We start from the raw sequence: 21,822 nt of genomic DNA, 5'->3' as shown, positions 1-21,822 counted from the left end.
TTTCAAGGGATATTTTCTAAAAGTAACTTCATTATGTTTTTATTTTTCCTTTAGCTTAATGACTTATCTGTGGAACCGGTCCTTTATTCCTCGATGGAATTTAAGCCAGTTCCCATGACTTGCTAGTCATTTAAAAGTATAAGTTGTCTTCCATTCAGTGTAATTTTGTGCCAACATCAATATAGCTATGAACATTGTTAACTTTGTTTAAATGTATGTCTTTTTCCCTTTCCCACTTTGATGGGATGATATCCTGCGGTGGGGGAGGTTATATCTGTTGGCCTTTTCTCTTTATCCACTTTCTGTTTTAAGGATGATTTTTATTCCCCCCACCCTCAGCCTGCTTCCACAGTGTTGGAGAGCAGGAAGATGTTTAAGGCCTATTCTGTCTCACTGATTACTTTCATTCGTTTTTCAATGACTACTGGGAACTTCTTACCTGCAGCTTTTTTGGCATAAGTCTATTCATCTCCACTCATGCCAATTACTTACTTGTCAGTCTGGAGGCATTCTCTTTCTCTGATCCCTTCAGTTTCTTTGGGGCAGAATAATCCTTTCTAAACAATAGATTTCAGTTTCACCAACAATAAATTTTGTATACTGATTTGTGTGATCTGTGAATGATATCATATATTTTAATTTGTAATTCTAAAAGTTATTTTAAGTTGAGGGCAGATTGTGTTTTATATTTCTATATTTGCAAATGTTTAGAATTAACTTAAGCTAACATTATTTCAATTCATTGCCTCCTTCATATACACAAGCCTATTAGGTACTTTAGATACCAACCAGAAGGATATGGACTGATTTACACAATCAAGTCTTTAATACTGAACCATACCCTAGACTATATGAATTCAGCTTTTTATTTGTCACTGTATCATTTGAAAGGAGACTAGCAATAAATCATTTCTTGTAGATTTTGCTAGTCTTAGAAAAACATTGCTAAAATCACAAATGATATATCAGATGATAGTGATGGATTAAAAATATTTCTGTGTATTAGCAATAACAACCTTTGTAAATAAAAAGGCAAGATTTTCTACAAAGTGAACAGTAGAAAATAATTCAGTATAATATCGTCCCTATAAGACTCTTAAGGAAATGTAAAGGGTACCTCTGGATATTTTACCGAATATGTAAAGGTATTTCTATATAATATATGTGTAACATGTTTAATACACATAAAGAATTACTATTCTTCAGGAATATTCTATTGATATGCTATTTTATCTGATATATATCACAAAATATTCATTAAAGATGTCTTTAATATAACCTATTTAAGTTTGGCATTTTGACACATGGGACTAAATACAATGTATAAATTATTTGTTTAACTTAAGCATAATGATAAATAGTGTATCCATGGGTATTCCTTTGCACACATATGGGTACTATGGTTATATCTAAGTGAATATATTTTGATTAAACACAAACTCTTGCATAAGGACATATGTAACCATGAGATCACACAAACTTCAAAGAGCAAAATCCCTTGTGATGGATACTAATAGGAATATTTAATTTATTTTTTATTTTTTTTTTATTTCCATAGGTTATTCGGGAAGAAGTGGTGTTTGATTACATGAGCAAGTTCTTTAGCAGTTGATTTGTGAAATTTTGGTGTACCTATCATTGAGCAGTATACACTACACCCAGCTTGTAGTCTTTTATCCTTCTCCCCCTTCCCACCCTTTCCCCCTGAGTCCTCAAAGTCCATTGTATCATTCTTATGTCTTTGCATCATCATAGCTTAGCTTCCACTTATGAGTGAGAACATGCGATGTTTGGTTTTCCATTCCTGTGTTACTTCACTTAGAATAGTAGCCTGCAATCTCATTGAGGTTGCGGCAAAGGCCATTAATTCATTCCTTTTAATGGCTGAATTGTATTCCATCATATATATATGTATATACACACACACACACACACACACACACAAACACACATACATATGCATACGTGTGTATATATGTATGCATATGTGTACATGTGTACATATGCATACATGTGTATGCATGTGTACATATGCGTACATGTGTATGCATGTGTACACGTGTGTATATGTGTACATTTGTATATATATGTATATATGTATATGGTGGAATATATATATCACAGTTTATCCATCATATATATGATGAATATACAATATATATTATATATATAAAATATATATAATATATATATATATATATATATAATATATATATAATCCTTTTCATATAAAGACTTATTTCCCTCTGGGTAGATACCCCAGTAGTGGGATTGCTGGATCAAATGGTAGTTCTACTTTTAGTTATTTAAGGAATCTCCACACTGTTTTCCATAGCGGTTGCACTGGTTTACATTCCCATCAGCAGCGTAGAAGCGTTCCCTGTTCACCGCATCTACGCCAACATCTATTATTTTTTGAATTGTTAATGATGACCATTCTTGCTGGAGTAAGGTAGTATTGCATTGTGGTTTTGATTTGCATTCCCCTAATCATTAGTGATGTTGAGCATTTTTCCATATGTTTGTTGACCATTTGTAGATCTTCTTTTGAGAATTGTCTATTCATGTCCTTAGCCCACTTTTTGAAGGGATTGTTTGTTTGTTTTTTCTTGCTGATTTGTTTGAGTTCTTTGTAGATTCTGTATTTTAGTCCTTTGTCAGATGTACAGATTGTGAAGATTTTCTCCCACTCTGTGGGTTGTCTGTTTACTCTGCTGACTATTCCTTTTGCTGTGCAAAAAGCCGACATAGCCAAAGCTAGACTAAGCAAAAAGAATAAATCTAGAGGCATCACATTACCTGATTTCAAACTATACTATAAGGCCATAGTCACCAAAACAGCATGGTACTGTTAAAATAGGCACACAGACCAATGGGACAGAATACAGAACCCAGAAATAAACCCAAATACTTACAGCCAACTGATCTTTGACAAAGCAAACAAAAACATAAATTGGGAAAGGACACCCTATTCAACAAATGGTGCTGGGATAATTGGCAAGCCACATGTAGGAGAATGAAACTGGATCCTCATCTCTCACCTTATGCAAAAATCAACTCAAGATTCATCAAGGACTTAAATCTAAGACCTAAAACTATAAAAATTCTACAAGCTAACATTGGAAAAACCCTTCTAAGCGTTGGCTTAGGCAAGGATTTCATGACCAAGAACCCAAAAGCAAATGCCATAAGAACAAAGATAAATAGTAATAGGAATATTTTAAATTAACTCCATTATATAGCCCATCTATAGAATTGGCATGTGTATCTTAGGAAAGATATACTCTCTCACATGTGTGTCCTGGGAAATGTGTAGCTCAGTTATCTTATAATGCTTATTTTTTAAATAACTTCTAGATTAGTAAGTGATCTTCTTTCATATTCTAAAATGATTCATACTGAACTGATATTTTCAATGCAACAGGAATACTATAGAATTTTAATCACTGCCTCATTAACTATCGTCCATTGTCCACATACAAGTACCACTGTACTATCCTATATTGTCATACCAATAGATAGCCAGGGCTCCAATCCCCTTTTCTCAGGTTACAGATATCTGAGATCTTCTGAAATTAGAGTATCTTCTTTGGCTAACAAAAGTTACTGAAGTAAGTCATGAGGGGTGTCACTCCTTCTGCACAATTAGTTGGTGGGGTGCTGTGTTGAAGAAGGGATGATTTCTTCAGATTACAAGTGAATGGAAATTCTTACTCCAATTGTGGCTAATAATCAGGTGAAAAATGACTGCATTTCCTCAGTGACCTTCATTGTGTTCCTCAGTGACCTTTACTTTGGTTCTCCCCTAGTTCTAACTTTTAGGACAGAGGGTTCTCTTTTTTCTTGGGCAAATTCACTAAGCTCTCATGGTGCTCTGTGGGGCTGCCTCCACATTCCTTCACTTGACATTTGTTCTCCAACTTTTTAGTAATCTGGGGTGACTCCCTCCATATTAACATTTTTTATCAGGAGTTTTCTCATGCCTCAAAATCCATATTCTCTCAAATATGTCTTCTATAGGCTATAAAATCCGAGCAACAACAACAAAACCATGTTTACTTTTCTTTAAAACATTTAAATTGCTCAATACTCAAGCCTTGGAGATATAAATATAGCATATACATACACATGTACATACAAATATTTGTATTTCTTACTCCTTCTGCAATAAAGAAAAGCAAGCAAAAAAAAAAAAAGTTAAGTTTCCATAAAAAATAGTGTGGACAATCCTACCTATCCACAGTACAAGAAATCCCCCTTTTCTTTGAGGGGGGGGAAAAACAAAAACAAAAAAAAAACAAAACTGGTAAAAACTCAATAAATTCATTTTTCTTTTTTCTTTTCTTTTCTTTCCCTTTCCTTTCCTTTCCTTTCCTTCCTTCCTTTCTCTCTCTCTGTCTTTCTTCCTCTCTCTCTTTCTTTTTTTCTTTCTCTCTTTCTCTTTCTCTTTTTGACAGAGTCTTGCTCTCTCACCCAGGCTGGAATGCAGTGGCACAATCTTGGCTCACTGCAGCCTCCACCTCCCAGGTTCAAGTGATTCTCATGTCTCAGCCTCCCAGGTAGCTGGGACTACAGGTGTGTACCACCACATCTGGCTAATTTTTGTATTTTTAGTAGAGACAAGGTTTCACCATGTCGGCCAGACTGATCTCGAACTCCTGACCTCAGGTTATCCACCCACCTCAACCTCCCAAAGTGCTGGGATTACAGGTGTGAGCCACCATGCCCTACAGCCATATAATCCTGTTGCTATTGATATTACATTGGTTTTAGCAATCTTCACCTACATGAATTGTTCATCTGTTTGCTTGTAGGCTATGGGGAAAAAATCCACTGTAGATACCAGGAAATTGGCACTTCCTTGTAGGAGTAGGGAATGACGAAAGGAGTATCAACTTAACAGAGTTGGCTAGAGGAGAAATTTCAGATTGATTTGCTCGATGCTCAAATCCTCTCCCAAATTAAATAATTTCCTGTTTTTATTACCTTCTCCTACTGTTAAATAATGTTTTCCTCAATGTCAACCTCCACCCACACTGGACAGACTGGGAGTTTGCTCTTCAATTATTTTTCATATTGTATATGAACATATAAGCATACATGGAGGAAGAAACACAACGACAGTGTGTTCTATATTTTGTTTTGTTTGATTTTGTTTTGCATTATTTTTGTTTTGTTTGAATTTGTTTCGCAATAGATTTTATCTAGGCCTCATTCACACAAACTCATCTACAGCATGGAAATGGAACAAGATATAATTTAGGCAAAAGGCCATAAATTTACCTAAGATTTTATATGCTTTATTGGTGTATTTTAAATTAGTGAAGAAAATGATTCTCCAGTTATTTCATAGCAAGTGTTATGACAATGGCTAAATAATTTTGAGAACAAATATTTTTAAGTCCATATTGAAAAAAGCCTTAAGAAAAAAACTAAACTTCAAATATTTAAAGTTATCAGACATAAAAAATCAAAACAAGTTGATCTCCTAGAAGTAGAGAGTAGAATGGAGGTTGCCAGAGGCTGTGTGGGGAGAATGGAGAGAGACCGGTGATTGGGTACAAAATTACAATTAGATAGCAGGAATAAGTTCTGGTGTTCCACTACACAGTAGAGTGCCTATAGTTGACAATGTATTGTATATTTCAAAATGGCTATAAAATAAAATTTGGAATGCCCTCACCACAAAGAAATGATAAGTATTTGAGGTGATGAATATGCTAATGACCCTGATTTGATCATTACATAATGTAACTCATATGGAAACATCCCACTGTACCACACAAATATACACACTTATGTGTCAATTAAAACTGAAAGAACACATATTAAGAAGTGCCAGAAAAATACATAGCTAAATATGTATTCACTGAATTTATTGAAGGCTTATTTGTGTTTTCTTAAGTTGCCGCCATTATACTTTGTGACAGACCTAGTGCTTTGAAACAACACTCGTTTACTATGTCATAGTTCTGTAGGTTAGGATTCCAGATGCAGTGCAGCTCAACTGGGTCCTCTGCTTAAATTCTCACAAGGCCAACATCAAGATGTTGGCAGTGTTGTGTTCCTCCCTGGAGGCTGTAAGAATGAATCCGCTTCTAAGCTCACACAGTTTGCTGGCCTTAATCACTTCCTTTTGGAGGTAGGACACAGATCCATTTTCTTCATTTCCTTGCTGGCTGTCATCTGGTATGGTCTTTGGTCCCCGAGGCTGCCTGCATTCCCTTTCATGCCTTCCATATGTCCTCCCACCGCAGGAATGGCAGGTTCCTCCCTCTCACGCTTTCAATCTCTCTGACTTCCGCCACATCCATCTAACCACAGCCAGAGAATTCTCTTCGTTTTAAGGATTCGTGTGATTAGAATGGGCCTACCCAGACAATCCTCCTATTTTAAGGTCCATAGTCTTCATTGCTTCTGCAAAGTCCCTTTTGCAATGGAAGGTAACACAGGTTCCAGGGATTAAGGCACGGACACCTTTAGGGGGTCGTGCTGCTTACCACAGAAGGCATTCTAATTAAGATACCAAAATGGAGCCCATTTTGTGTTTCATTACATAAAGCTTTGCATCTTCTGTTCCTCCAAAACACGATAATACCCAAAGCAAATGACTTTCTGTGAAAATCCATGTGCCACATACGTGAGAAAGAGTTAATATCATTAACCTCTAAGGGACTTTCATTAAGCAAACAAAGATAAACAGTATTTCAAATGGAGGCAAGGGAGAAACTTTTCATTTCTAGATTTATTTGAGAATGTAATATGCCTAAGATTCAGATTTTGGGTAAGAATGGTTCAAGCTCATGCTCTTTTTATGTAAATGATTATCATTTTATTATGAAAAAGACAAGTGTTATCTTGAATGTCTTATAAAATAAAAAATAAATATATGAAGCCATTTCTATTTTAAAAATTACATGTTTAATATTTCTGAATTGTTAAGGAATTGATGTTCATTATAGAAAATAAGACATAAAATACATTAGAAATAAGAATACAGATAATAAGAAGAAGTAGTCTTTTTATAATGTTCATACAAAAACACTTAAAATTGGGGATCATAGTGTAAGCAGTGTTTCTAACCTTCATTTTCAAGGTTGAACACTGTCATAGGTACAGAGTTTTATAAACATTTATTAAGTACCCACTATGTGTTAAGCTCTCTTTTAAGCACTTTGGATATATTAGTAAAGGGAGCAAAGATTGCTGCCTGTGAGGAGCTCACATTCTGTCATAATACAGAAAAAAATTCTTGTGATATATTGCCCTGTGGAAAAAAAAATAGATCATAGAACAGTATTTGCTGTATGATCCTAATATGTAAATGTGTTTAAAAAATAGAAACAGTCACCATACAGTAAGTGATGGGCATAATGTGTTTAGCCAACTGGCTTGTATTTTTATTGACATTATATGTTTTATTATAAATGTTTGTACTCTTTCTTTTAAGTAAAAGAAGTTACATTCTTATACAAAAGAGTAAGAGTTGCTTACTCTTTTGAATAAGAGGAATCATAATGAGAATCACAATGTATGAATAGTTTGAGCGCTTTGGATAGATATTGCCGAGATGACCTGTAGAAATAATGACCCAGCATCTTCTCCCACAAGCCCCGTGTACGTGTGCTTATTTCCCTTGCTCATAAACACTACTCCAAACATCTACTAATGACAACAATCACTACTATGTGTGTTTACCACATGTTGTTGTTCAAATTTCAACATCTCTGAAATTAGGATGCATACCCAATGGAATAATTTAACTTTTTTTTCTTTTGTAAAGCTCTATGAAATAATGGGTTGTCTTATAATCCATGGCATTTTAGATTTTTAAAAATCCAGTAACACATAAATCCTATTGCTATATTTGTGAATATTAATTGTAATTACTGCAAAAGTTATCTAATGCTGTTAAACATTTTGAAATATCACTGGAACACAGTGTACTGATTGTTGCCATAGATTGCTGATTAACTTCCTAAGAAAAATCCTATTTTCCATGGTCTTACTGAGGAATCAGAAACACCAGCAACCTGTCTTAATTGCTACAAATCAGTATTACTTGTTCTATATTTTAAAGAAATATGTAAGAGAAAGAGAGAACATGCCACAAGAGTTAACAAGAACCTTTTAAAAGGGAAAGACATTTTATTAAATAAATGAAAAAAAAAATAGCTGCAACCAAGAACATCTAAATTTTCTATGTAGGAAATGTATAAAATCCTTAAGAGGATTTTACTGATTTTGTCTGCTGTATGCTACTATGTGCTATGTTTTACTATCAAATATTTAAAAATACACACCAAATAAACTACTGTTGTATTGGTTTTCACTAATACACAGTTTTCACAATTTCATACATTTAGAAACAAATATTTCTCCAGTTAGTTGCCTAGAACTAAGAAAGTTGAAATGGCATGAATTGCTTCAAATTATTAATAAGCATACGGAAGTGGTCAACTTGCTTGTAAATAAATACATAAAAATTAAAATTGAACAAAAATTTTGCCACAAAACTAAAAATGCTGTATTTGAATATAATATTACAAGTTCTAATATTAAAATGTTCTAAGTCACAGTTTCTCCAAATGGAGATACAAAGAGTTTGAACCCAACTATAAGAATAACTCATAAAATGCTTTCAAAATGCATAGAAAAGCTCTGGCTCTTAATAATTCCTCATTATACTCAGCTAAAATGATGACATTGATGAGTAAAATATTTAGAAAACATATTGATGCAGTTCCCGTAACATTTCATTTGTCTTTTCACTTTTTTCTCTAATTAACAATTCAAGGACTGGTAGTGGAAGTAATATAATTGCCAACCTTCATAAACATGGATATTAAAAAATATTAGTTTCAGAGTTATTCCTAATTATTTCTGTGCAACTTTAAGAAATATATTCCTGGGTTTTCTATCTTTCACTAATAAGATAAACTTGATCATCAAAGTCTGAGTAATCAAAAACTACCATATTATAGAAAATCCCCTCCCAAAGTATAAAATTTGGATTGGCACATGAAGTGGCTATGACTTTCATTACCCCCTTGCCTAAGTTGATTGGCTGTTCTCCCAGAGACATGTCTTCAATTTTTCCTCTGAGCAGTTTGAATGACCAATCTAAATGTGCATACTGTCAAAATAGAAAATGTAACTCAGTAGAAGCAAACATTGCCATGAATAAAGGAACTGAATGAACTGAAATCAGCAGGTCATTTATGAAGACGCTTTATTTTTTCTCCCTTCTGTCTTCCAATTCTGCTGAGCGATAAGGACTAAGGTTAGTCCTTATCGCTGCCTATGGTTAAAATCCTTGCAGGTCCCATAGCTTCACTGGGTCTATTTTTTTCTGTTATTAATACATGATAGTTTATATATTTAGGGGTACAGATGAATGTTTGTTACATGTTTGGAATGTGTTATGATCAAGTCAGGATATTTGAGATATCCATGATCTTGTGTATTATTTCTATGTGTTGGTATAATTTCAAGTCCTCTTTTCTATTACTTTGAAGTATACAAAATACTGTTGCTAGATATAGTCACTTTAGTCGGCTAACCAACATTAAAACTTATTTCTTCTAACTATGTGTTTATACCTATTAATCAACCTCTCTTTATCCTCCAATTCCAACCACCAACCCATCCCAGTCCCTACTATTTACCATTCTATTCTCTATGAGATCAATTTGTTTAGCTCCCACATATGAGTAAGAACATGCAGTATTTGTCTTTCTGTGACTAGATTATTTCAACTTAATGACCTCCAGCTCCATCCAGATCCCCAGAACAGCAGCATCAACATCACCTGGGAACTTGGTTTAGAAATGCTAATTTTGGATCCCATTCCCCAGTGAGGGAATTAGTGAGACCCCCAGCCTTTATGATGTACTCTGAAGTTTGAGAAGCACTGTAGTATCTCATACTTAGAAGGAAGCAAACTGGTCTTTTTTGGGCTGCCATTGGGAATCAGTTACCATAGTGGGCACTTCAATTAAATTACCTATTAATAGTTCTAACAGCATATAAATCTGTGTCATTAGCAAGCCCCTCTCCTATCTAGATCTATGCCCATGGGCAAGTAGTTTCATTGTTCTGTGCCTAAGTTAATTTGTCTATAAAATAAATATAATAGAAGCGCCTACCACTTAGAGTTGTTAGGAGGATTTCATAGATTAGTGTATTAAAAACCCTAAAACACATGTAATGTGCACATGTGTTTGCTTATATCATTACTATTATCTCTTATATATTAGTATTAACAATTATAATTATTATTTAGGCCTCCTTAAGTTAAGTAACTTGCTGGATGTAATACAACTAAAATAGTAGAAGCCTGAAGTTGATTCCAGCTTTATTTTCCTCTAAAATAATTTTTTTGTCTCCCCTCTTTACAACAATTATATTCACATAACACATTTTGTTACCTATATACACATACATTTCCTCCTCTCATATTTTTCAACATTGCTATGATAGACTGGCTTCCTTAATTCAACATCACAGGAGAGAGTGATGACTTATGCTCTCCAGTATCTGAAATGACACTTAGGAACATAGATGTTCAATAAATGCTTGCTAATTGATGAAGAAGAATAAGATCATTACCAATTACTTCTTCAAACACTGATAAAATGGAATAAATGTGATATACTAATAAAATCAGAGATTGTAGAAATCATGTCAAAGTGATATATCTCTTTTTTCCCCTCTGTTTTTAACAGTCATACCTCAGAGTGGCCTAGGTCTGTACACAGGACTAAAAATTTAGATGTTCTCTGACTATATCTCTTTCCATTTATCAATGTCCAACCTATTTAGCATAAATGGTAGCGAAAAGTGAGTATTTATGGGTTTTTCTATTTTAAAAATGGTATTTAATTTATTCAACTAAAGATGTTTCACCTCATAGAATTGTAGGAAATAATGTTGTGCCTTGAGATTAACTAAATTAACCTGAATATAGTTTGTATAGGTTTCATATTGAACAACTGACAGAAGAAGCAATAATGTTCAATGAGAATATTTTTATTACTAAAAAATGCCTGGTACATAAAACTCAACTCAAGAATTATAATCTTACTGCGTACTTATGACTACATAATCATTTCCATTATGCCAATTATACTAGATTTGTTTGTATTAGTAAGTATTCATTAAACCAATATACTGTCAAACATTATACTCTTCTTTGGTTGTAGAAGGATGAGACAATCTGATCTCAAGAACCAAATAATGAGGTCTACAGCAAAACTACTGGCTGTGTTGAGGGATGGCCCTGTAATTGGAAGGGGAAAAAGAAATATGAGAGATGAGAGACTGAATATACAAATGGTTAACAGCCAGAACATATGTGACAAAACTCTGACCTACCACCTCCACCGCAACTAGCCCAGGAAACCAAACCACAACCTCTGCAATTGGTTCAGAATGGCCAGGATGTTGGGGACATTTTCAGGTCACTGACTACCAACTTCCTTAATTTTTATCCACTGCTTCCAACTCGGAACTAACCAGAGGAAGCCAAATATATCTCCCAAAGCAAACACATAGGTTGCTCTACTTCTGGTTAGCCTGCTTCCAGTTTCTCCATGTTAATTTATCTCCAATCAGAACACACCTCAAGCCTTCCCTTTTTATTCATTGTTAGATTTTCCTGCTCCCCTACCTACCTTTGAGTCTCTGGCAAATGCAAATGATGCATGGCTGAATCCCTTGCTATAGCCAACTGCAAATAAATAGTACCTACGTATTCACATCTGGATGGTCTTTCTTCATTTTCATGAAGACAACAGAGGTAGAATTGTTGGGCTTGAAAAATGATTGGATGAAGGGCTGAAAAGAAAGGGAAGAATCAGTAATGACTAGCCTTTTAGGTTTGTGTGAATGACAAGTTAGAAGTGTCACTAATAGAAAGAAAAATCCAAGGAGCAAAGTGGGTTTTAGCAGGAAGAGGATAAATTTTGTTTGGACATTTTCAATTCAAAGTAATTGTGCAATATATAGTTAGAAATATCTACCAAGAAGTTTGGAAAGTAGCACCTAGGCCAGAAATACATTCAGGTCTAGAAATACTAATTTGGAAAGTTAAGATGTGAATTGAAGATGAAACTTGTAAAGATGAAGATTTCAACCAAGTGTCTAAGTACAAGTTCACATAGGAATAAGTAGAAAAAGGACAGGATCCGAAAATATATTCATACCTTGATTGTTGCATTCACTCAAACATCCCTGAGCACAGCTTTGCCCCTAGGCATTATGTCTGCTACTGAGATAAACATGCTGTAAAACTGGGAAGTTTTACATTCAAAGTACTGGGAAGAAGAGAAAATAAAGGCAAAAACAATAAGATGTAATCATGAGAACATAAAAACATAATGAAACAAAAATGATAATAATCCAAAACTAGAAGGCAGCTTGTAATTCCTGGAAAAAGAGAATTTTATGAAAGAAGAAGTGGTTAACTTCTGTGTGCTGTAAATTTTCCAGGGTGATGATGACTTTAAAAGGAACATGGTATTTGATGTCTTGGCATCCTTGTGGTTGTGCAATAAAGGGCATCATTAGAATTTTTTGGGTGAAAAAAAATGTTGCAAATCATAAGACGTGTAAAGCATCCACACAAGAAGAAAATAAAGCTTGAAGACTCAGGATGGTCAAGGGCAAAGTTCTCCAGAGAGATAAGCCTTGACATTACAGGTTGAAAATAAAGATAAAGGGGAGAATGAGAAATTTGTTGTCATTAGAAAAAGCATAAAGGGTGCATGGTAATTCAGGACTGAAAAGGGGGGATGAAAGCAAAACTGCGAGGAGGAGAGAGATCCTTTCTTGGAAATAAAGTAATAGAAGAGGAATGGATGAAGATGCACATGGATTTTTAAAGTGTAGAATAACGAAGTTGAAGTTGTTCTCATGGATAACGTTCATACACTTAATATGTGAACAAGTCATGTCATAGCAGGAGAGAGAAGCAGGTACAAAATGGGAGGGAGTTGGAGATATTTTACTTTAGTGGCTACAGCATTAGGAATATAATGGTTAGGTAACTGTAGAGAAAGAATAGTGATGGTGAAACATGAGCAACATAGAGGTCTTTTGTGGTAGCATAGCAAATAATAATAATAATAATAATGGTGATGAAATAAAATGTTTTAATGTAGTAGCTTTCTTTTCCAAAAATTAAAAGGTTGGTAGGGTTTATGAAGCATCATCTAAATGAGATTGGGTAGATTTGAGTGAGGGGAGATTAAGGGGAGACAGAGGTTGCAGGGCACTTCATATATATAAACTATTTCTGAGATAAACAAACCGTGGCTTAGGAAGCTTTACATAGCTTGCTAGTATTACTAAAATGAAGCTTCTGATGCATGTTTTTGGGATGGGGTCTGAGATTCTGTATTTCTAACAAGGCAGAACTATCAGAATCTGTATTTCAACAAAAATCCAGGTGATTTTTATGTGCATTTGAGTTTGAGAGTTACCACTGTATACTTAGCTTCTGCCTCTGAATTGCCAATTGGCAAAAAAGTATGGTAAGGATGAAGGAAGAAGAGAATACAGGATAGTTTCACGGCTTGATTAAAGTAGCCAACCATGGCGAGTAAGATAGAAAGGGACAAGTGGCACCCAAATGCTGCTGTATATTTTCAGAATAGGGAGTGATAAGGACCCGCTAGTCATAATGGCAACTATAAGACTGAGTCTCCAAGCTTATCTGAGCTTTAGTGCAGCAGCTGAAGTAAAATGAAAATGAATGTTGCCATAGTTACCATGAATTTACATAAAGGCTATACCAATCTTGTGAACTTTCACATGGACTTACAGATTTTTCAATATTACTATCTCCAGAAATGAAAGGATCAGTATATTATGCTGGGAGTTACAATTTATAATTTTAATTTCTTCTTAAATGCGTAGTTATCTATAACAAGGCAACTTTATGATGAGCATTATTATTTCTTTAGGTTTTACCAATTAGTTTGGCTCATTGTCAACTAAGGAAAATTATGACAATGTCATTCATGAAAAAGGGTTCAGAGGACGTTTTTGGAATGCACCCATTTATAGATTGAGGTTATTGTTGTCAATCTTTTCAATACAGCATCAAACATTTTAATAAGATTTTAGTGTTTTGAATAATTTAGAGCGGCATTTTTCTGAGTAGTAATGCCTAAGAGTCAAAATATTAAACATAAGGATGTATAAATTTTCAGTTAAGAGACATAAATTCCCACTTGCTAAATGAGTTGTTTGATGTTATTTTATATATCATTGATACCCAAAATATTTGTAATCACTTTCATTGTATACTTTTTGAAGGAGTATGAAAGTTTATTTAGAGATTTTGACATTTTGGATTTTGTGAGAATAATTTAGGAACAGATATTCATTCAGTGAGGAAGATATCAAAGGCACTACAACCAACAGGCTAAAATACAAATTCCAGCCTATACTATTTATTGGCAACATTTTCTGTAGATATTTTTAATCACATATTTTGTTATGTGGTAACAAGTAAACTTTCAAATGACTTTCAATTGTATAATGAAATTCCAACAAATGCTCTGGGAGGTTAATGGTTTTTCTTGGTGTTAATTCATGAATAGACTTTATCTTCTTTCCAGTAGGTTTTAGACAATGGAAGACAAAGATTATAGTTTTTTCTTATTTTATTCATCCTAATATATACTAACACGTTAATACATTATAGCAGGTTCAGAAATTCAGACAAATTTGAGCCTCCAGAAGAATATACCACACAAATATCTTTGTAAAATATAAAATGCATTTAAATTATTTAAGAGATAAACTAATAGAGTAATGTAAGGAACTTTTAAAAATAACAGCTTTATTGAGATATAATTTCATCATCGCAAAAGTAATTCTTTACCCATTAGCAGTTATTCCCCATTCCTCCCACGTTTTATTCTCTGATAAACTTTAATCTGCTTTCTTTTTCCATATAATTTATTTATCTCTCAGATTCAAGAAATAATTCATCCAAGTCTGAGATAACATGCCACACTGTCATTTGATCTGGATTCCTCCTATTTTAATTGCTCTACTTGGGAGTCTGATAAACAAAGAGGTTGGGGTGGCCTCTTATGATATATGACTGCTGGAGCTCCAGGCATTAATTCTGCATTCTAACCAGAAATTTTACTTAGGGACGGAGGGACAAAGAGGAACATGCCTCTTAACATTCACTGACACTGTTTAGACTTTGCTTACCCAACGTCTACATGTGTCCTTTTGCCAGAACTTAATCTTATGGCATTGAGACTAAGGATGGTTGTCTTATTCCAAGTGGTCATGAACCTAGCAAAAAATAAGTAAAGTAAGATGGATGTTGAGGGATAACTAGAAGTTTCTGCCATAGTGTTAAACCCACTCAAACTTATATAAAACTTCTCAAGCTAGATTTTGGAATACCAAAAGAAAAATCCCGGAAGAGATTATAGAATGCAATTGTACAATGTCTAGTAGCTTTTGAAGTGGCAATAAAATATACAGTTATTAAACATTAGTAACCAGAATATCAAATCTATTATGGTTTTTGTCTTATTTGTGACTTTAACCTCACATTATAGTATAGTAGTGGCTGGTAAATAATTGTTTAGTAAATATTTGTGGAATAAATGTATAAATTACTTAACAAGCATTATATACCATTGTATTCAATAGATTTACATACATTATTCATAGGATAGTTTGCTAGTCTCACCACTTGCCAGTCATTCCAACTTTCCCAAGATTTAAGATCTTTTTTGTAAGAAATAAGTTAGGCATTGATTAAGACGTTGAGAAGATTTTGATAAGGTAAACTCTAACACCTAAACACGGGGTATTTTTTTTCCCAAGGGTCTATCCAGTTATTATTTCTTTATTGCATCACTTAGATGGTCATTGATTATTTATCGAGAGTTTATAATGTGCAAGGTTTTACTGAAACAGTCTACATTTTTTCCCAAATATGTTGCCTACAATTATAATAGGAATTGTGTTTCTGAGATGATAAGCTTCACAGTCTTGAAAGATAAGAGTTCAAAGTTGTTATTTTTTAAAGCATTTATTTGCATTTTTCTAAATGGATAGAAGGTTATCTGGTTTTGCAAGAAAGTGTTTCTGATAACCTATGCCAAAATCATTCTTATATTACCTACAATTTACATATTTTGTAACAATATTATGTATTCTAAAATTTATTGGCAGAAAACTCTAGAATTTGACATGTCTGATAAATAATGCATAAGTTCAATTTAGCATTTAATGAGCTAGGTACTGTGGGGCTGTCACTATCTAAAATTAATTATAATTTATTAGAGTTGTAAGACTAGAAGCTTTCTAATCTATTTACTATTCTTACAGATCTATAAAAAACTGAGAATATAGTTATGTATCTGCTTTATGAAGATACAATTTTGGGTTTCTTTCTAAATTGACTAAAATGCAAGCCCCCTATTTCTTTCACATGTCCTCCCCTTTAAAAGAATCTGATCAACACAGGGAACACACAACCCACAGAATGGAAGATAATATTTGACAACAACACAACTGACAGGGACTGTTTATCCAGAATTTACAATGAACTCAAACAACTTAACAACAACAACAAAACAAATCCCATTAAAAAGTAGGCTAAGGGCTGGGCACGGTGGCTCATGCCTGTAATCCCAGCACTTTGGGAGGCTGAGGTGGGTGGATCACAAGAGGTCAGGAGTTTGAGACCACCCTGGCCAACGTGCTGAAAGCCCATCTCTACTAAAAATACAAAAATTAGGCAGGCATGGTGGTAGGCTCCTGTAATCCCAGCTATTCAGGAGGCTGAGGCAGGAGAATTGCTTGAATCATGGAGGCAGAGGTTGCAGTGAGCAGAGATCACACCACTGCACTTCTGTCTGGGTGACAGAGCAAGACTCTGTCTCAAAAAAAAAAAAAAAAAAAGAAAATAAAGTAAGCTAAGGACATGAATAGACACCATTCAAAAGAAAACATACAAATGGCCAACAAGCGCATCAAAAATGCTCATCATTACTAATCATCAGAAAATGATTAAAGTTAAAATTACAATGTCATATCATCTTACATCAATCAGAATGGCTATTAACAAAAAGACAAAAAAGTGTTGGCAAGAACACAAAGAAAAGGGAAGACTTATACACTGTTGGTGGGAATGTAAATTAGTACAACCTCTATGGAAAACAGTATGGAGATTTCTCAAAGAACTAAGAATAGAACCACCCTTTGATCCAGCAATCCCACTACTTGATATATACCCGAAGGAAAAGAAATCATTGTACCAAAAAGATACCTGTACTCATATGTTTATTGCAGTTCTATTCACAATAGCAAAGTTATGAAATAACCTGTCTATCAACAAATGATTGAATAAAGAAAATGTAATACACGCAGACATACACACACAATAGTATGGAACACTATTCGGCCATAAAAAAGATGAAACATGTCTTTGCAGCAATATGGATGGAACTGGAGGTCATCATCTTAAGTGAAACAACCCAGACACAGAAGGAAAAATACTGCATATTCTCTCTTATAAGTGGGAGCTAAATAATATGTTCATATGGACTTAGAGCTTGGGTTGATTGACAATGGAAACTCAGAGGGTAAGGGAGTGGGAGGGAGATGAATGATGACAAATTACTTAATGGGTACAATGGATATTATTCTGGTAAAGGACATACTAAAAGCCCTGACTTCACCACTATGTGATATATGCATATAACCAAATTATACTTATACCCCTCAAATTTACACAAACAATCTGTATCTCTAAGCTACATCTAACTGAAGGGTAGGAGAGTTTGTGCTTAAAACTCAACTGTAGCTGAACATACAGGGAGGGGAACAACACTTACTAGGGCCTGTTAGAGGAGGTGTGGAGGTGGCAGGGGAGGATTAGGGAAAAAAGATCATGCATGCTGGGCTTAATACCTAGGTGATGATTTGATAGGTGCAGTAAACCACCATGGCACACGTTTACCTATGTAACAAGCCTACACATCCTGTATGTGTACCCCAGATCTTAAAAATTAAAATAATTATTTTAAAAACTCAACTATATTACTTACTAGCTCTCTGTCCTTGGATATATTTGTTTACCTCTCTAGTCAGTGTTCTTACTTATACAACATAGATGCTCATAATACCTGATAGGATTGCTATGGAGATTAAATGAGATGAACTTAAAGACTTTGACACACTTCTTGGCACTTAGTATGTGTTCAGTAAATGTTAACTGTAGTTATTAATGAGGACCAGCCCACTAAGATGATATTAGACTCATAATAAATATATAATTACTTGACTCCTAAAACTGAAAAGAATAAATGAATATATGTGCATTGAAATAGCACTTGTAAGAATGCCGTACAATGATTAACTATCATATAGAGATGTAATGACTAAGAGCATAGGCTCTGAAGCAAGACTCCTTGGATTAAAAATGTGTATGATAAAGAACAATATACTTATAGCTCAGTTTTATCTATAAAGTAAAAATATAATTATCAGAATTAAATGAATTAATACATAAAAATACTGAGACCAGGATCTTACATACATTATATGTTTGGTAAATGGTGTCTACTAATATTATCCTATCCTGGTATGTGACTTAACTGGGATTCTGAATTTAGTTAACTTCAGGTTCAATTTTAACTTTACAACATATTGATAGTAAGATTTTTTTGTAGTTTATTCAGGCAATTGTTGGCTTTCAGTCTCTTCTGTGAAAATGTGGAAAATAATCTCTAATATATGAAACTTTTCTGAGCATCAACTGAGGATACATGAGATACAATGTAGAAATCCTATTACAGTACTATTTATTGCTGATTAAATATTATTTTCCTAAACCCAACAAACTGTCTTTAAAATTATTCCCAATCATTTTGAAGTATTTATAATTATTTAAAATTATTATTGAAAATGATTTTCCAATTTTTAGGTTTCCAAATAATTTTTATTCAATTTCCTCTCCCTCCCCCAAATTTTTGGACTCCTTGCAAAATTAAGTCAAGAGGAAGTAATGCACTCTAATTCTTTTTAATGAGGAAGAAATCACCATCTAAGATGCCAATTTCATGAATTTCTCCAAACACTACATCATAGATCCAATAAATCCATTCATTAAAGGCATTTATCTACAGAAATACTAAAATAATACTAAAAAATTAAACTTGAATGTATAACTTTTCAAGATTTCTGTAGTAATTTGAAAATCATTCAAACACAACTCTGAAGAATGTCTTATTCAGCATGGTAAGTTTAGGATACCAGAATTATAAAATTATCAATAATTTCTTTTGTGGTTTGCCTGCTTGGCTTAACATCAGTGCTTTCTGAATGGTTGTTCCTCAAATAAGTAGTACAAATGAGAGAAGTATATCTGATCCTCTTTTTTTTTTTTTTTTTTTTTTTTTTGAGACAGAGTCTTACTCTGTCACCAAGGCTGGAGTGCAGTAGTACAATCTCGGCTCACTGCAACCTCTGCCTCCTGGGTTCAAGCTATTCTCTGGCCTCAGTCTCCCAAGTACCTGGGACTACAGGTGTGCACTACCATACCCAGCTAATTTTTGTATGTTTAGAAGAGAAGGGGTTTCACCATGTTGGACAGGCTGGTCTTGAACTCCCAACCTCAGGTGATCCACCCGCCTCAGCCTTCCAAAGTGCTGGGATTACAGGCGTGAGCCACCGTGCCCGGACTGATCCAATTTATTTGGCTAGAATTTTATGTGAAATAAAATTTCTTAAAATTTATCAAGGATAAAACTCTAACCTAGTGTCAAAGTCTCTGACAGTTTAATAACTGGTCATTCATCATAAATCTCTCCTCTGAAAATAGTTATTTATGCACATCGTGTTAAAATAAACTCCTTTTTATTTATTTTTATTTATTTATTTTTTGAGACAAGGTCTTACTTTGTCCCCCAGGCTGGATGCAGTGGCACAATCTCGGCTCACTGCAGCCTCAATTTCCAGGGTTCAAGCGATCCTTCTTTCTAAGCCCCCAAGTGGCTGGGAGTACAAGCACACACCACCACCCCTGGCTAATTTTTGTATTTTTTTGTAGAGATGGGATTTCTCCATGTTGCCGAGGCTGGTCTCAAACTCTTAGGCTCAAGCAATCTGCTTGCCTCAGCCTCCCAAAGTGCTGAGGTTACAGACATTAGCCACCATGCCCAGCCAATGCTTTCCTTTTTAAATGTATATTTGCCTGAGTCAAGCTCCACAAATCATTGAAAATGGTAAATTAAAGTTGGAATAAACTGTATTTCTGCTTTGACCTTCTTGTATGCCTAAAATTACCTATCTGATTTGGATTTGTCCTTGGAAGACCAACTAGTCAAATACTTTGAATATCATTTCTGGAATCCCTGAACTTAAGTATGAGCCATGACTTACAATCTACATACCCAACATATCTGATCAGTGTAACAACGTCAGTAATACAAACAAGGATGTCTTTTGGATTTATTGTTAATATCAAAATATTCAGTTTCAAATATAGATAAACATTCTAGATAGAACAAAAGGACATAAATCTCTTTATGTGATTTTTATGTTGAAATTCCATCATTCTTTTAAAAGTGTCAATTTGATATTGCAAATATGCAACACAGTGCCTGCAGGAGTAATCTAGCATCTGATCGTGCTAAAATAAATTATTGTTTCTGCGCTATAATGTTAAAACCTTAAAGCTTGACTTTAAACTTTTAGTAATAAAATAGTAATAACAATTAAAACTTCTAATTTGTGTATCCAAGAAGTTTATTCTACAATGGTAATATTTAGCTTCAGCCAAATGTTAATTCTAATACTCAACCTTTTAACATTTAACCAAAATTTAATTTGCTGCACCTCTAGATAAAAAGGGAGGGCAAGAAAGAAGGTCACTCTAATTCATTGATTGACTTTTTAAAGTACGAGCATCTCAAATCACACTAGATTTTTTTGAGAGGATTCTCCTTTCACAAATGTCAATAAGGAATAGATCTCCTGAAATCATCTCTATCCTTGCTCCTGGAGGGTTAATGAAAGCAGAAAGTGATACTGTACAAATGAGCCCGGGAGGTCTACTGGAAGAATTGTAATGTACTCCTTTACACCTCCGTGATAGTGATATTTTGTTTTCCTCTAACATTTCATCAAAAAGAGAAACATTTTATATCACCTCTCAAGTGGTTCATTTTACTGTCAGATTCACTTTCACATATGATCATCCTTCCTAAGAATGAAGTATTATTCCTTCATGAAATAAATGAAGTTATATAAACTATTTTCTTCAATTATGGTAGAAACTAGTTGAAACAGTTTAATGCATAAACTGAGAAAAACACAGTCTCCCAAAACAGTACCAACAATTAAAGAATTGACATAAAAGACTCAATCTATTATAACTTTTCTATTTTAAATTATATAGCAATTAGCTAGAGGTTACACAGTAGAGCACCTACTTGTAGACCTACCAGTCATTTATGAATTTTCTAAAGAGTTTGCAAGTACTACTAATTTCTTCTTTGAGGGCAGAGGTTAAATATTTAGTTTTCTTTTCTTGTTCATATAAAATAGTATCTATCAAGCATTAAACAAACTTGATGGCGAGTAATGTGTGTTGATAAAGTTACCACTGCACCAAAATGAGAAAACTTTTACAAAGGGCTCAGTAACTATTTTTTTTTTTCTTTTTCTTTCTTTTTCTTTTTTTCTTTTTCTTTCTTTCTTTTTTTTTTTTTTTTTTTTTTTTTTTTTGAGACAGTCTTGCTCTGTCACCCAGGCTGGAGTGCAGTGGCATGA

General features: G+C 34.0%; 1 protein-coding gene across 38 annotated transcripts in view, besides 1 other annotated feature; it reads left to right on the top strand.

Annotated features, from left to right (window-relative positions):
• Positions 1-21,822, top strand: part of PTPRD (protein tyrosine phosphatase receptor type D) — a 2,298,757-nt gene that overhangs the window by 1,015,508 nt on the left and 1,261,427 nt on the right. The gene's annotated exons all lie outside the window — the stretch shown is intronic.
• Positions 19,885-20,073: a silencer, noted in NCBI's record as "fragment chr9:9577422-9577610 (GRCh37/hg19 assembly coordinates)". NCBI's record gives its function as "represses an EF-1alpha promoter that drives an FKBP-Casp9 reporter gene in an ReSE screen in K562 erythroleukemia cells {active_cell/tissue: K562}" and the evidence as "EXISTENCE:reporter gene assay evidence [ECO:0000049][PMID:32094911]".

This window comes from Homo sapiens, chromosome 9, assembly GCF_000001405.40.
Source record: "Homo sapiens chromosome 9, GRCh38.p14 Primary Assembly".
Taxonomy (NCBI): domain Eukaryota; kingdom Metazoa; phylum Chordata; class Mammalia; order Primates; family Hominidae; genus Homo; species Homo sapiens.
Note: the sequence above shows the minus strand (reverse complement) of the source record. Positions and strands in the feature narration are given on the sequence as shown.